This window comes from Homo sapiens, chromosome 3 (genome assembly GCF_000001405.40).
Source record: "Homo sapiens chromosome 3, GRCh38.p14 Primary Assembly".
Lineage (NCBI taxonomy): Eukaryota > Metazoa > Chordata > Mammalia > Primates > Hominidae > Homo > Homo sapiens.
Genome location: NC_000003.12, coordinates 142,392,195 through 142,409,965, shown reverse-complemented (window position 1 = coordinate 142,409,965; position 17,771 = coordinate 142,392,195). Strand labels below are relative to the sequence as shown.

General features: G+C 36.1%; 1 protein-coding gene and 1 pseudogene across 12 annotated transcripts in view; both read left to right on the top strand.

Moving 5' to 3' along the window:
- XRN1 (5'-3' exoribonuclease 1) overlaps positions 1-17,771 on the top strand; it is a 141,428-nt gene that overhangs the window by 38,072 nt on the left and 85,585 nt on the right. For all 12 annotated transcript variants that reach the window (XM_047448357.1, XM_047448356.1, XM_017006640.2 and 9 more), the window contains 5 exons: positions 4,890-5,059; positions 5,977-6,097; positions 6,194-6,292; positions 9,419-9,522; positions 12,506-12,637. In XM_047448357.1, the coding sequence (XP_047304313.1) occupies positions 4,890-5,059; positions 5,977-6,097; positions 6,194-6,292; positions 9,419-9,522; positions 12,506-12,637 (626 nt within the window). The remainder of the gene's footprint in view (positions 1-4,889; positions 5,060-5,976; positions 6,098-6,193; positions 6,293-9,418; positions 9,523-12,505; positions 12,638-17,771) is intronic.
- Positions 2,229-2,309, top strand: RNU6-1294P (RNA, U6 small nuclear 1294, pseudogene; annotated as a pseudogene).

The following is a 17,771-nucleotide window of genomic DNA, read 5'->3' as shown; positions in this document are numbered from 1 at the left end:
TTTCCATATACTAGCAACAAACCATTTGAAAATACAAAACTTTTAAAATAAGAAGCTTAAAGATTCTGCTTAAAATAGCATTTAAAAATATAAAATACACAGCTATAAACTTAACAACATATGTGGAAGCCCTCTACCTTGAAAGAGATGGAAAACCTAAGTAAATGAAGGGATTATATCATGTTCATGGATATGAAGACTTAATATTGTTAAGGTGTACGTCCTCCTCAATTTGATCTTTAAATTCAATCCCAGTGAAAATCCTAGCAGGTTTTTATATAATTGAAAATATGATTCTAAAGTTTTTATAAGATTGCAAAGGAGAAAACCAAAACAATCCATATAAAGAACAGTGTTGGAGGACTTACATGACCTGATTTCCAGACTAACCATGAAGCCACATTAATCAAGACAGTCTGTTATTGGTATAGCCATAAGCAAATAGATAAATTGGAACAGAAATAGTCCACCCAAATGTATGTTTATGCAGTTAATTCATCTTCAATTAAGGCACCAAAGCATTCAGTGAGTAAAGAAAGTGCTTTTCAAAAGTTGGTGCTAGAACAACTGGCTATATTTGTGAATAAAAGTGAATCTTGACCCATACCTCACACCATACACAAAACTTAATTCAAAATATGTCATAGATCTAAATGTATTAATAAAAGCTAAAACCATAAAACTTCTTGAAGCAAACTTAGGAGAAAATTTCAAGATTCTGAAATCACTAACCATAAAGGGAAAGAATTGAGAAAATAGATTTCACCAAAATCAAAAAAATTTCCATTTATCAAAAGATGCTATTTAAAAAAGAGTAGATAAGCCACAGTGTAGGAGAAAAAAAATATATGCAGAACATACACATGCATGAGACTGGTATCCAGAGTATATAACCAGCTCCTCCAACTCAAGTTAAAGACACAACCCAATTTTTTAAATGGCAAAATATTTTTGAAGGGCCATTTTCACAAGGCAAGATATACAAATAATAAACAATGGAAAAGTGCTCAACATCATTAGGCATCAGGTAAATGTAAATTAAAAGCATGATAAGATACCACTATACCATAATCCCAGTTGAATGGAAAAAACTTAAAAGGCAATACCCAATATTGGCAAGAATGTGGAGCAATTGGAATTTTTATACACTGCTAATGGGAGTATAAGATGGATAAAAGCACTTTTCATATCTATCTGGCAGTTTCTTATAAAGTAAATTATACACCTAACCCTAGGACCCAGCAATTCCATTCTTAGATATTTACCAAGAGGAGGGGAAAGTATGTTTAAAAAATGTTTTGTACAAGACTATTCATAATAACTAAACTGGAAACCGCCCAATACCAGTCAGCAGGACAATAGATAAGTAAATTGTGGTACAGATTAAGCATCCCTAATCTGAAAATCAGAAATTTGAAATGCTCCAAAATTAGAAACTTTGAGCATCAATCTGATGCCGCAAATAGAAAATCTGCACCTGGTGTCATGGGATGGGTTGCAGTCAAAATGCAGGTGCACAACACAGCTTATTTGCATCGCAAGGGATAGAAGACCCTCCCAGCCCTTTTCAGCTGCAATATACCTTTTCTGCACACACCCAGATTCCCCCACCCAAGCACCCCCACAAAGGGTAATAAAATGGCACATGTATAGGCCAGATGCGCCAATGGCAGGTTCCCCACAATGCCCCAAATGGGCCCCAGGCCTATGTGCATTACTCACTGTATTACTTCGCTTATTCTTTAGTCTGGTGTGAAGATAGTGTTGACAGTGTCAAAAAGGACTGCAGCTACCCCTATGGGTGTTGGTGTCAAGAAAAATAGGAAGCATTTATGTTTACCTGTAGCATAGAAAGTCAAGTTGTTGGAGAAACTAGACAGCGGTGTGTGAACTGTCTTTTAGAAGAGTATGCTATTAGAATGTCCATATATGACCTGAAGAAACAGAAGGGTAAGCTGTTGACATTCTGTGCTGGAAGTGATGAGCAGAAGTTAATGAAAAAGAGAATACTGCATAAAGCTACAAATGAAGATATCAATCATGTATTGAAGTACTGCATTTGTCAGCATTGCTGTGAATACATGCCATTTAATGGCAGGCTGATAATGAAACAAACAGATCTATCACAGTGAACTGGAAATTGAAGAGAACTGTGAACATTTAACAGACTGGTTGCAAAAGTTTAAAAAAAGACAGTGCTCTCTTCAGCAGTACATATACTTAAAAAAAAAACTGGAATGATACAAAGAAGATTAGCATGGCCCTTGCGCAAGCATGATATACAAATTCATGAAGCATTCCATGCTAAAAAATAGTAATGATAAAAACAAAAAAGTAGGCCGGGCACAGTGGCTCATGCCTGTAATCCCAGCACTTTGGGAGGCCAAGTTGGGTAGATCACTTGAGGTCAGGAGTTCAAGACCAGCCTGGCCAACATGGTGAAACCCTGACCCTACTAAAAATACAAAAATTAGCCAGGTTGGTGGTTCATGCCTGTAGTCCCAGCTACTCAGGAGGCTGAGGCATGGGAATTGCTTGAACCCAGGAGGTGGAGGTTGCAGTGAGCCGAGATTGTGCCACTGCACTCCAGTGTGGTGACAGAGTGATACTCCATCAAATAAATAAATAAATAAATTTTAAAAGTCACAGCATTGAATTTTTAAATGTTTGGGATGATAAAGCACCTGCTTATCATGAAGCTAGAGAAATTCAATGACACGTTTGCCAGGGTCTTTGCTAGTGATGTTGGAACAAGTCTGTAATGCTGATGAAACATCACTGTTCGGGCATTATTGCCCCAGAAAGACACTGACTGCAGCTGATGAAACAGCCCTTCCAAGAATTAAGGATGCCAAAGACCAAATAACTGTGCTGAGATATACTTACGCAGCAGGCATGCATAAGTGTAAACTTGCTGTTATAAGCAAAAGCTTGCGTTCTCACTGTTTTCAAGGAGTGAATTTCATACCAATCCATTATTATGCTAATAAAAAGGCATGGATCACCAGGGACATCTTTTCAGATTGGTTTCACAAACATTTTGTACCAGCAGCTTGTGCTTACTGCAGGGAAGCTGACTGGATGATGACTGCAAGATTTTGTTATATCTTAACAACTGTTGTGCTCATCCTCCAGCTGAAATTCTCATCAAAAATAATGTTTATGGCTCACACCTGTAATCTCAACACTTTGGGAGGATTGCCTGAGCCCAGGAGTTCAAGCCCACCCTGGGCAACACAGCAAGACCCAACCTCTACCAAAAAAAAAAAAAATGAACTGGATGTTGTGGTGTATACCTGTATTCCCAGCTACCTGGGAGACTGAAGTGAGAGGATCACTTGAGCCCAGGAGGTTGAGGCTGCAGTGAGCCATGATTGCCTCACTGCGCTCCAGCATGGGTGTCAGAGCAAATCCCTGTCTCAAAACAAAAACAAAAATGTTTATGCCTTTTTGCCATCTACTTTCTCCCAAATATGACTTTATTAATTCAGCCATGTCAGCAGTCATATCCAAAAAATTATTGCCAAGAGCAGTGTCAAGAAGCTTTTGTCCTGTGTTTTATTCTAGTAGTTTTATAGTTTAAGGTCTTAATGTTTAGGTTTTTAATCCATTTTGAGTTGATTTTGTTTATGGTAAGATAAAAGTCCAGTTTTATTCTTCTGCATATGGATATTCAGTTGTCCCAACACCATTTATTGAAGAGGCAATCCTTGCCCTGTTGTGTGTTCTTGGCAACCTTGTCAAAAATCAGATGGCTATAAATTATGGATTTATTTCTGGGCTTTCTATTTTGTTCCATTGGTCCATATGTCTTATTGAAAATACTTTTATGTATGTTTACCTTTTCCATTTTCTCTTTTGTAATTTGCTTGTTTATATTCTCTCCCCATTTCTCTTTCTTTTTTTCTTTTGATTTTTAGCTACTTTATATATTAGAAATAGTTTTCCCCAGTATCACATCTGTCTCTTGATTTGTATATGGCATCTTCTGTCATATACATTATCTTTTACTTAAAAAATGTCTTTCCCCTTAAGGCTGTTCGTTTTTTTTCTGTCTTCCTTAAATAAAACTTTATCACACTAAATTATCAATACCACCTAGATTTTCTTCTGATACATTTGTTATTTTGTTATTGTGATACTTGTTTTTATATATGGTAGGAAGTTCAGAAGTGTATGTGCTTTTTTTTCAGCTGGATAGCTAGTTAGGACATTGTCATTATTTAAATACCTAAAGGACTGTTTTGGCATAGATTTGGGTCTATTATTGAACTCTATTCTGTTCTTCTGGTCTGTGGGTCTCTTGTAGTGTCAGTACTAGTGTTTTGATTACAGTAGCTTTATCAAAAGTGATAGAATCTGGTAAGACAAGTCCCTGGTTACTTTTTACTGTCCATACATTTATTCTTCCATATTAACACTGGTATCTTATTCTTTTTTTAAAAAAAAGATATTTTAAATCATTGATGTCCTGACTGGAATTACTTTAAATGTATAAGTTAATTTGGAAAGATGGACATCACTATACTACTACAGAATTTGTAAAGTAAGAGATTAATGCTCTGTGAATTATGATATAGTATTATAATAGATTCACACTTAAAATTTGATTTTCTGCTGCCTTGCTTATTTGCACTTTAGTGGCAACTGTTGGGGTAATAGCTTCAGAGAACTTTGCAGTGGTAGCAGTATTCTAGGGCCCTTTGAAACAATAAATAGCATATTTTTCATGCAATAAAATGGAAGAGTTTCATTAGTTAAGATTTTGGTTTTTTGTTTTTCAAGAGCACAAATGGTTATTCTGTATATGGAGGAAAAAGACTTATTCTGTTTGTTGAGATTATGGAATTTTTATGCTTGTAACCCTTCTCTTCAATCCTTATATTCAGAAGCGATTATTGGAAGCCATGGAGACATGTAACCACTCCCTCAAAAAGGAAGAGAGGAAAAGAAACCAACATAGTGAGTGCCTAATGTGCTGGTATGATAGAGACACAGAGTTTATCTATCCTTCTCCATGGCCAGAAAAGTTCCCTGCCATAGAACGATGTTGTACAAGGTAATGTTACTTGGTAATTTTTCAACAACAAAAGAGCGCTCCTAACACAAGGGTGCGAGAAGTGGTGAAGGGGGAGCTTTGAATATCTGTTTGGAGAATTAGCAAATAGTTTATGACAGTTATAGTCAATTGATAATCAATGAGTTACATCTAACTTGCAGAGGATCTAAGGATCTTTCACACTTGTGTCTATAATTCTCTACTTTGGTCAGATTCTTTGTTTCTCTTTCCTTCTTCTATTAAAAGTGTTTGAATTTTTTCTCTCTAATGTATATCCCTGCATTTTGTCTCCCTCGAATGGATATGTGAATTTTTGTTTCCATTGTCAGTGTTTCTGCTCCCAGCATTATTTGATACGCTGTGATATTGATTATACCCCCCAGCCACCCAACTAGAAAGAAGGAAATAAGAAATAAAGAGCTCCATTTTTTTCTCTTCATGAAAATATCTTCCTTTTTTTTCTCTTCTCTCACCTTCCCTGCAAATAATCTACCCAGATGGCAATTGAGTTGCAAATAAAGTAAACATCTCTCAGTTACAACTTTTCCTTTTGTTAAAGGAAAGAGAAAGATAAAACAGGCATTATAAAATGTTTATTTTCCATCCTGGGTTTTGGAACATGGAGGATATAGAGATTTGTGTTATGTGTCATATTTTATCTTAAAATTTATATATATAGTTTTGTTTTAGATTAATGGGGAAAATCTCAACTTAGTAATCTACAGGCATGATTGTGTCTAGACCAGTAACAATAGAGAGGCTGGTTATCTGCTTGTGTTTTCTTTGTCTGGAACTAATTGTCATTCTCTTCTTTAAAAGCAAGGATGACTCTTACGAAATATACAAGGGAAAGTTAAAAAACTGTAATTGTTTGTAATGTATTAATTTTAAATTAAATGCCTTGATTTATTTTCTAGGTATAAAATAATATCCTTAGATGCTTGGCGTGTAGACATAAACAAAAACAAAATAACCAGAATTGACCAGAAAGCATTATATTTCTGTGGATTTCCTACTCTGAAACACATCAGACACAAAGTCAGTGGCTATTTAGTTCAGAATTTTTTCACTTTATTAAGTGTGAAGTGATTATGGAGAAAGAATTAAAATTAAATTATTTGAATTCTTTTAAAGTTTTTTTTGAAGAAAAGTGGTGTTCAAGTATTCCAGCAAAGCAGTCGTGGAGAAAACATGATGTTGGAAATCTTAGTGGATGCAGAATCAGATGAACTTGTAAGTATTTTATTTATCATTCATTTATTAGATGCCTATAATGTATTAAACTGTAGCTGCTGGGATGTTTACCAGGGAGGTATTATATGTTGTAACTCTAGAAATTTGGAGCCTAAATAAGGATGAAGCAAAGAAACATTCATACAAATTAGATAATAGTTCAAGAACCTGTATCACTGTGACACAATGAATATACAAATTTTCTAGAAATTTTAAAAAGGAGAAGAGCTATGTAAACCAAAAGTTAAGTATAGACTTGTAAATGAGAATAGGCTTGAGCTGAGGACTGAAAAACAGGTTAGGACACAGAAAAGGAGGGGAAAGGCATTCTAGTCAAAAGAAATATCATGAGCCAGTCATTTCAGTCAAAAATGTCATATATTATTGTTTTTAACCTTTTTGTGTATCTGAACTATTTCTTAACACTTAGTCTTTTCTTTAGAATAAATGTGATATATTTGAGGAGAAGGAATAAATAAGCCTTATTGAAGCAGAGGATTTGTGTTTGGAAATAGTAGAAGATAAGTTTGAAAAATCAGATTGAGGCCAGATTATGTCGAACCTTGAGTACCAGGCTGAGTTTGGACTTATTTTCCCATGACCATTATTTTGGAATTGATATTTTCATAAAGATTAATTTGGTGGCAGTATAATAAACTAAATTGCACAAAAGAGAAATCAAAGAAAGCGGGAAAGCTTGCGAGTGTAGCATCAGGTGATAGAGACATAAACTTCAGAAGTAGCAATAGATCTAGATGAACAAGATGAAATAAAACTGATAGGTTTCATTATTTGGTCAAATACAGGGGGTGAAAAGAGAAACTATTAATAGTAAATGTGACTGAGATATCCAGGCTAATTAACTAAAAAAAAAATTGTAATTTACTGGACTAGAAAAGTTAAAACAGGGGAGTTGATAGTTTAGGGGGATGAAATGATAAATAATGATGGAATTTTAAGGTAACACTAGGATGTTTAACCGGAACTGCCTTGCCAGCCTTTCTTAACCAGTATTCCACAAGATGTATAAGCCCTAATGCCCTAAGTCATTCATTGTAAGCAATAAATTAACTTATCTTCTGTGCATTTAGAACAGTAGGAGTTATGTACCATCTTTGAGAGAACAGAGAAAGTAGACGTATTTTGTGTTCTCTGATTCAGATGAAAAACCTGTTTAGAAAGTCTGTTTATGGCTGGGCATGGTGGCTTACGTCTGTAATCCCAGCACTTTTGGAGGCTGAGGCGGGCATATCATCTGAGGTCAGGAGTTCAAGACAAGTCTGGCCAACATGGTGAAACCCCATCTCTACTGAAAATACAAAAATTAGCCAAACTTGGTGGTGGGTGCCTGTAATCCCAGCTACTCGGGAGGCTGAGGCAGGAGAATTGCTTGAACCCAGGAGGTGGACGTGGCAGTGAGCCAAAATCGCGCCACTGCACTCCAGCCTGGGTGACAAGAGCGAAACTCCATCTCAAAAAAGGAAAAAAAAAAGAAAGGCTATTTATATACAGTTAAATACCTGGAGCTAGAGCTTGGAGAGAGAGAAGGATATTCAAGTTGTCAACAGAGAATTGATGACTTTGAGGTTCATTTCCTTGAAGACAAGGTGCATTGAGTGTTCATGGTCTCAGCATAAAGAAATGCCCACAGTTATAAATGGTGGAGAGGGAGCCAGTAGAAACAGAGAGGTTAGGAAGAGTGATTCCAAAGTTAAATAGTACCACAGAAGCATGGAGCAGAGGATGTAAGCTGCATAAATCTGAAGAATAATAAAAACTCAAATAAGATCTGTGAATTTGTCTTTTAGAACATCAATGTTGATCTTTGAAAATTCCATTTCGGTAGATTGGTGGAAGCAGAATTTCAATTTCTGAGAACTAGGCTAAGATTGTGTAGACGGGAAGTAAAGGTAGCAAGTATTAAGCCCTTGGTCAAGAAGTTATGTGTTTGTTTGTTTGTTTGACAGAGTCTCACTCTGTCACCCAGGCTGGAGTGCAGTGGCGCTATCTTGGGTCACTGCATCCTCTGCTGCCCAGGAGCGATTCTCCTGCCTCAGCCTCCCGAGTGGCTGGAATTACAGGCTCCTGTCACCACGCTTGGCCAATTTTTTTTTTGTATTTTTAGTAGAGACCGGGTTTCACCATCTTGGCCAGGCTGGTCTTGAACTTCTGACTTCGTGATCCACCTGCCTCGGCCTCCCAAAGTGCTGGGATTACAGGCGTGAGCCACAGCGCCCAGCCTACAGTTTCTTAAAACTAGAATTTTTTACTTAAGATATTATTTCCTACAGAATATTTGTAGAGCATTTTATGGTTTATGAAAGCTTTCATGTATATGATTTTCTTTTATCCTCAACATTGTAAGGTAGATGTTATTCCTTTTCCTCATAAAAGAAAACTGAGATTCAGTAGGATTAAATGATATGCCAAAGATTCTATAGCTGAAAAAGTGGTAGAACCCAAATTTGGACCCGTGTCTCCTGATTTTAAGTCTAATATTCTTTTTTCATCACACCAGCCATAAACTGAAATGAGCTTGTATTTCTTAGATCCTGTTTTAAATAATTGACTATTTGATATGAAACAGTCAATAGTTCTTTTCTAGATATTTCTGCTGTTCTTTTTATTTTTCTCAGTTACCATAAAAAAATAAGGAAGATAATTAGAATGATAGAGTTTTACACCTGGATGGAAGATGGAATTTTGTAAAGCAACTAATTCAACTTGTTCATTTTATTTATTTATTTATTTATTTTTGAGACGGAGTCTTGCTCTGTTGCCTAGGCTGGAGTGCAGTGGTGCAATCTCACCTCACTGCAACCTCCGCCTCCTGGGTTCAAGCGATTCTGCTGCCTCAGCCTCCGGGTAGCTGGGACTACTGCGTGTGCCACCACACCTGGCTAATTTTTGTAATTTTAGTAGAGATGGGGTTTCATCATGTTTGCCAAGCTGGTCTTGACCTCTGGACTTTAAGTTTTGGGATTACAGGTGTGAGTCACTGCACCCGGCCCCAACTTGTTTATTTTAGAATTTAAAAAACTTAAATGGAGATTGGAAAATTTTGCCTGTGTAAAGTTTTCTCTTAGACCTGAAATCATGAATGAACTTTTTTGCTTTTACTTTAAGACCGTAGAAAATGTAGCTTCATCAGTGCTTGGAAAATCTGTCTTTGTTAATTGGCCTCACCTTGAGGAAGCTAGAGTCGTGGCTGTATCAGATGGAGAAACTAAGTAAGTAAGATTTGATTTATAATTTTTCTAACATATATTTGCTTTGTGACTTTGATGGCTTTTATTGATTCATTTTTTTAACTGACAAAATTATATTAAGAACATTTACACTCTGTACCAAAAATGAAAGTCGTCTAATGACACCACTTGAAGTTCAAACACTATTGACAGTTTATTGTACCTCTCTTGAGATATTTTAGATGCATATGTTATTTTTTCCCTTTTAATTTCTTGGAAGTTCTATATCCTAATTCTTTTCTAGAAGTGGTTATCATTATATTACTTAGCAAATACATTTCTCTTTCTAACAAGAATTAATAGCATATGTAACCTTCCCTTTTCCCTGCCCCATCTGGATTTCATTTAAATTGTACATTAATTTTTTAGGGCACATATCTTTTGTTTTAAGAAAAATATCTTAACATTTCATTGAAATTCACAATCGTTTATATCAATAAATGTTTAGATAAATTATTTTTTGTCGTTTTTTTATTATTTCATATAAATTTTATCTTGATTTCTTATATTTTATTTTTCATATGGCTAGAATTTTCTGAAATAATTTTTTTTCAGAGAAGATGGGTAGATATTATGTTTTTTGATTTTGAGTTATTACACATCCGAAATGTCTTTTTTTTTTTTTAAATTTACACATAGGTTTAGAATTTTGGAGGCCCAGTTTCTTTTCCTTTTCTCTTAGAGCTCTGCATACATCTCTCCATTATGTTATTTTATGTAATGTTGATGAGAAGTCAGTGCCAGTACGGTTTTTTTCCTTTGTTGGCATCTGCTTTTGTATATGAAATCTTGAGGATTTTTTTTATCAGAATTTAATTCCCCTACCTTTCTGATGAAGTCCAATTTATTAATTTTTTTATGCTTTTGGTGTCATGTCTAAGAGCTCTTATTCTAGCCCTAGATCCAGAAGATTTTCTTTGATATTTTCTTTGAAAAGTTTTATAGGTTTACCTCATTTTATATGAAATCAGTAATCCATTTTGAATTAATTTTTGTATAAGGTATAAGGGGCAGATCTACTTTCATGTATTTGTGTATGAATATTCAGTTGCTTCAGCATCATTTGTTGAAAAGACTGTGCTTCCTCCATGTCTGTTTTTATGCCAGTAACACATTGGCTTGATTACCATGGTCTTAACATCAGGTAGTGTGATTCCTTCAACTTCACTTTTTTTTTTTTTTTTTTTCAGAATTGTTTTAGCTATTTTAGGTCCTTTGCCTTTTCATATACATTTTATAATTTTCCTATATCTCCAAAAAATCTTGGAGGGATTTTTATATGAATTGTATTAAACCTATAGATCAATTTGGGGAGATTTAACTATGTTGAATATTCTTATCCATGAACACAATATATCTCTTCATTTATTTAGATCTTTGATTTCTCTCATCATTGTTTTGGTTTTTTTCATCATACTGATCAGGTACATGTTTTGTTAGACTTATACCTGAGTATGTAATTTTTCTTGGAGTGAGTATGAATGGTATTATGTTTTAAATTTGTTTCCCCTGCTAGTATATAAAAATACAATTGATTTTTTATGTTGATTTTATATCTTAGAATATTTTTTCCTTTTTATTTTATTTTTAGAGTTTAGGACAGCCAGTTATTTTGTAGAATTCTGGATTTACTCTGTTGTTTCCTTTTAGTGTCATTTAACTTTGTCGTCTATCCCACATATTTCCTGTAAGCTAGAAGTTAGGGCTAGTAGCTGAATTAGATTCAGGTTAAACTGTTTTGGTGAAAATACTTTATAGGGGCCAGGTGTGGTGGCTCAAGCCTGTAATCTCAGCACTTTGGGAGGCCGAGGTGAGAGGATCTCTTGAGGCCAGGAGTTCAAGACCAGCCTGGGCATCATAGTGAGACTCTGTCTCTACAAAAAATAAAATCATTAGCTAGGCATGGTGGTGTGCACCTGTAGTCCTAGCTTCTCAAGAGACTGAGGCAGGAGGATTGCTTGAGCCCAGAAGTTTGAGGCTGCAGTGAGCTATGATCACTCCACTGTACTCCAGCTTGGGTGACAGAATGAGACCCCATCTCTTAAAAAAAAAAAAAAACTTTGTAGATAATGCATACTTCATATTGAATTTGTATTTTTAACTCTTTAAAAATGTTTATTTTTATATGTTTAGTCTCTTAGGAAAAAAATATGCTTTTAAATTTTATTGACTGACTGACTGATTGGGAGAGACAAGGTCTTGCTCTGTCGCCCCAAGTGCAGTGGCAATCATAGCTCACTGCAGCCTCAAACTCCTGGGCTCAAGTGATCCTCCCATCTTAGCCTCCCGAGTATCTGGGACTACAGATATGTGTTACCATACCTGGCATATTTTTTTTATTTTTCTTTGTAGAGACACTGTCTCAATATGTTGCCAGGGTGGTCTTGAATTTCTGGCCTCAAGTAATCCTCACATCTCAGCCTCCCAAAATGCTATGATTACAGGCATGAGCCACTGCACCCAACCTTAAATTTTTTTGATACATAATAATTGTATATATTTGTAGAATACATGTGATATTTTGATCCATGTATATGACATGTAATTTTCAAATTATCTGTTACCTCAAACACTTATCATTTCTTTGTGTTGGGAACATTTTCAATCTCTTCTGGCTATTTTCAAATATACACTAAATTGTTAACTGTGGTCAACCTACTGTTGCTATAGAACACTGGAACTTATTCCTTCTATCTAACTTTGTATTAACCAACTTATCTTCTTCTTCCTCTGTACTTCCCATGCTTTTAAAATTTGAATGAAATTAACAAGCCTTGTTCTGTAATTTATATTAGTTTATAAAAAGACCTGTAATTATTATAGTTTTGTAATTTACATTACAGTTGTGGGGTTTTTTGCTAGTATACCATGTGAAAAAAATATTTCATTTGGAAGACTCACACTGCTAGAACTCTATATTAAACCAGAACATTTTGGTTATATAATTTTTATTTTAACTCTTAAGGTTTTACTTGGAAGAACCTCCAGGAACACAGAAGCTTTATTCAGGAAGAACTGCCCCACCATCTAAAGTGGTTCATCTTGGAGATAAAGAACAATCTAACTGGGCAAAAGAAGTACAAGGAATTTCAGAACAGTGAGTATCGTTAAAAGTATTTAATATCATGGAACTAAAATCCGTTTTAATGTACTCATTCTCTAACTTATTTTCCATTTAACATAGTAGTTACTCTGAATACTAATTACACCTTCATCCTGTTTTAGAAAGTAATGAGTTCTAGTTTAAAATGATACCTGATTAGCAGTAGTTACAGCCTTGCCCAGTTTGTCACTAAAATACCTAATGAAGTATAGAAAAAAAATGACAAATTAATGTAATACTAGGAATAACACTTAATACATTGACTGATTTTGAGAGCTATTTTCACTAACTGTATAAGGCCATTGAATTTTTTGGCCACATGTAAGTCATGAAAATTGGAAGAAAAATCCTGTTTTGTTCCTCATCTTCTCCCGTTCCCCATTCCCTTTACTCTCTTCCACCCAAGCCATATTCCCCAGGGCTTAGAATGCAGCCAAACTGAAATGCTAACCCACCTGGGAATGTTGGTTTTCAGGATCACCAGAGTGTTTTGTGTCCCATGATCCCACCCCAGCAGCACCTCTCCTTTGCCATCCAAACACAAGAATTCCCAAAACAAAAGCAGAATACGAGAGGCTGGCATTGGCACATGAAATGTTTTAAATGTATACCATCAGCCTTCCTATCCATGGATAAGCTTTCGGAGAATTCAGGGATACTCCTTCTAATTTTGGGGCTAATACCAGGCCACAATATCCTTATTCAAAGATGAATAAACCGGGAAAACGTTCAAAGACCATGAAAAACCATCCAACACCAAAGGAGATAAACATAGCTCTCGAGAGGTAGAGCATATTTTTGCCTCCCAACAGTGTAAATTAGATACCCCATCATAGTTTATATCATTCTAAGTTGTCTTTTGTAGCATATAAATAAAACCATAATAAACTTACTTGTATGATTAATTTAATAACTCTTTCTTTAGATAGTATGCACCATAAGAGTAGAGAGCATATCTGTTTTTGTTACTTCTTTATTCCAATTTATTGGTTAGTGCCTAGGCACTCAGTTACTGAGTTATTGTTTGAATGAATAGATAATATTTTAGTCAAGACTCCTTTAATTGGAAAAAAAAATCATTCAAAGTACTTCGGGTAAAGTGTTTAGTCATTTGTTTATATATGTAACATTGATATGTGAATATCAATGTATTGATACCTGCCATAATAGATACAGTAGTATGCATTGTAATGAATAAAAACACGTAATGAATAATAATGAGTAAAAACACACAGTTCCTACACTTATGATATTTACAGCTGCTGGATGGGAGACAACTATGGTAATTGCACTTGAAGGAGTAGTGCTCTGAGACCATTTGACTTAGCTAGGGAGGAATTTGTCATAGTCAGGGACAGTTTCCCAAGGAAGTATTGATTAAATCGATATCTGAATGCTGACTGGGAGTTAGGCAAGGAATGAAAAGGAAGTGTTTCATGATGAGGGAAGACTTACATGAAAAGCCCTGTGGCAGGAGGAAAAGCAGTGTGTATTGAGGAAGATTTGGCAACAAAGAAAAAAGAAAGTGGCAACCTCAGAAGTAGGAGGACAGCTAGAAGAGGGTTATATCATGTAAACCAAAGGAAAAGATTATTTCAAGAACAAGGTAATAAACCACACCGTATATTTTGAAGAGATTTAGCAAGAGCTGTATTGATTGAGCCATGGAGCTGAAAGCCAAACTAGAGTGGGTAAAGGAATGATTGAGAGTTGCAGAAGTGGAGACACAGTAGAAATTGACAACTTGTTCAAAAAGTTCAGCTGTGAGAGAGAGACCAAGAGATCTTGACCTCTTATCTGTTGTTCCCCTTCTGAATGAGCTTGAACTTCTATGAGGGCAGCAAAGGACAGAGAGAGTCGTCAATGCAGAAGACTGCTGGAGATGATAACAATGTATACTCGTTCACTCGAGAATAGTTTCTAGTGCCTGCCAATTCAGGCTGTCCTGTTTAACCTTGTCGACCAAGTTGGGTAGACAAGGCTATGTGGATTCATGAGCACTTAGGTTTATTTTATTCTGGTCACCATTTTCTTAGACTGCTTTTCTTTGCTACCATATTCCCCCCTGATACCATCTCACTTTTTGTCCCTTCCTTTCATGCCTCCCTAGCTCTTCTGTCTTCCAAGGTGAAATTCACAAGATTACTGTTGCTCTGCCCCTGAGGGTTTACTTATTTGTGATTTTTGCACATTAGAATGTTAGTAGCATGAGGTGAGGATTCCATGGCTCTAACAATAGGAGTTATCCTTATGCAGAGCATTCTTAGCTCTATGACTTTTGCAGGAAGAATGTAGAACCTATTACTTATCTCATATCTCCATGTATCTTAACTAAGATATGTTCTACTAAGTTGAGTATATTCTTTTCCTATAAACATATACATGAAATATTTCCATAAGTACCAAATCATGTAGTTTTATTTTGAGAAACCCTCTAAGCACATATGATGTACCTAATAAATTTCTGTATACCTGTGTAACAAATTTTTTTTCTGATGAAAATCACCAGTAAGAGATAGCTAAAGAAGGATATAGGATTGAGTAGAGCTGGTTTTTGGTTTATTCAGAGAGTTTTAATTGTGTGTAAAAACAATGAGAAGGAGCAGAGAGAAAACAATAAATTCTAAGATGGAAGGAGATGGATTCTTAAATAGGATATGAGATAGCTCCTCTGTTTTAACAGTATGGGAAGCAAATATAAGTTGGTTTGTGTGTTTGGCATGGGGAAAGCTGAGGAGCTCTCATTTGATTATATTTTCCTTGTAAAGCAGATGCTGAGTTTAGCTATTGAGGATGGCTGGAGGAAAAGGAAGGTTGGTCATAAGTTGAAGTAGAGTGAAGGAGGTTTGAAAATAGTTATTCAGGGAAATAGAAGACTATCAGTTTATCAGGAAAATGTGGTAGAATGGTAAGCAGTATTGAGGATCCTTTTTGAAGTTGGAGTCATAATTTATAATGAAACATTCTACCCTGTGTTTTGGGATAGAAGTGAGTTCACCAGTCACAGCCTTAGAAAAAACAAATGGCTGGATTTACTCAGCACTGGATTTTGCCACATGAGCACAATGAAGAGACAAAGAGGCAAGAGAGTTTAGAATATTGGCAAGAATGTTACTGAAGTGGTGGATGGTGAAATCTAAGTGGGATAGAGGGAGAAGTGAAGAAAGTAGACAGTAATAGTAGTAATAGTCTGGGAGGCCAGGCACGGTGGCTCATGACTGTAATCCCAGCACTTTGGGAGGCCAAGATGGGCAGATCTCTTGAGGTCAGGAGTTCAAGACCAGCCTGCCCAACATGGCAAAACCCCATCTCTTCTAAAAATACAAAAATTAGCTGGGCATGGCAGCGCCTGCCTGTAGTCCCAACTACTCCAGAAGCTGAGGCTGGAGAATCACTTGAACCTGGGAGGCAGAGGTTGCAGTGAGCCAAGATCACACCACTGCACTCCAGCCTGGGCAACAGAGCAAGACTGTCTCAAAAAAAAAAAAAGGTCTGGGAGAAGATAGAAAGTTTAGTGGTTTGGAAATCCTAGATAAAATTGAACAAAGTAGTTGAACATGCAAGTTGGATGAAGAGGAAGTTATCAGACAGTGAGATGTTTGTGTTAGTGATTTCAGAGGTTCGGTAGTTATGGATAATGTCAAAAACCAAGTCATAGCCATAGAAATTGCTGGCTTACGCATATCTACAACTATCTGATCTTTGACAAACCTGAGAAAAACAAGCAATGGGGAAAGGATTCCCTATTTAATAAATGGTGCTGGGAAAACTGGCTAGCCATATGTAGAAAGCTGAAACTGGATCCCTTCCTTACACCTTATACAAAAATTAATTCAAGATGGATTAAAGACTTAAACGTTAGACCTAAAACCATAAAAACCCTAGAAGAAAACCTAGGCATTACCATTCAGGACATAGGCATGGGCAAGGACTTCATGTCTAAAACACCAAAAGCAATGGCAACAAAAGACAAAATTGACAAATGGGATCTAATTAAACTAAAGAGCTTCTGCACAGCAAAAGAAACTACCATCAGAGTGAACAGGCGACCTACAAAATGGGAGAAAATTTTTGCAACCTACTCATCTGACAAAGGGCTAATATCCAGAATCTACAATGAACTCAAACAAATTTACAAGAAAAAAACAAACAACCCCATCAAAAAGTGGGCGAAGGACATGAACAGACACTTCTCAAAAGAAGACATTTATGCAGCCAAAAAACACATGAAAAAATGCTCATGATCACTGGCCATCAGAGAAATGCAAATCAAAACCACAATGAGATACCATCTCACACCAGTTAGAATGGCAGTCATTAAAAAGTCAGGAAACAACAGGTGCTGGAGAGGATGTGGAGAAATAGGAACACTTTTACACTGTTGGTGGGACTGTAAACTAGTTCAACCATTGTGGAAGTCAGTGTGGCAATTCCTCAGGGATCTAGAACTGGAAATACCATTTGACCCAGCCATCCCATTACGGGGTATATACCCAAAGGACTATAAATCATGCTGCTATAAAGACACATGCACACGTATGTTTATTGCAGCAGTATTCACAATAGCAAAGACTTGGAACCAACCCAAATGTCCAACAATGATAGACTGGATTAAGAAAATGTGGCACATATACACCATGGAATACTATGCAGCCATAAAAAATGATGAGTTCATGTCCTTTGTAGGGACATGGATGAAATTGGAAATCATCATTCTCAGTAAACTATCGCAAGAACAAAAAACCAAACACCGCATATTCTCACTCATAGGTGGGAACTGAACAATGAGATCACATGGACACAGGAAGGGGAATATCACACTCTGGGGACTGTTGTGGGGTGGTGGGAGTGGGGAGGGATAGCATTAGGAGATATACCTAATGCTAGATGACGAGTGGGTGCAACGCACCAGCATGGCATATGTATACATATGTAACTAACCTGCACAATGTGCACATGTATCCTAAAACTTAAAGTATAATAAAAAAAAAAAAAAAGAAATTGCTGGCTTAGGTGAAATGAAGGAGGTTATTGGAGATAAAGAGATTATGAAAATGAGTTACAGTGGTGGGTAGATCATACATGTAGACATTGACATAAGAATAGAATGGGAAGTGGAGGGTAGTTT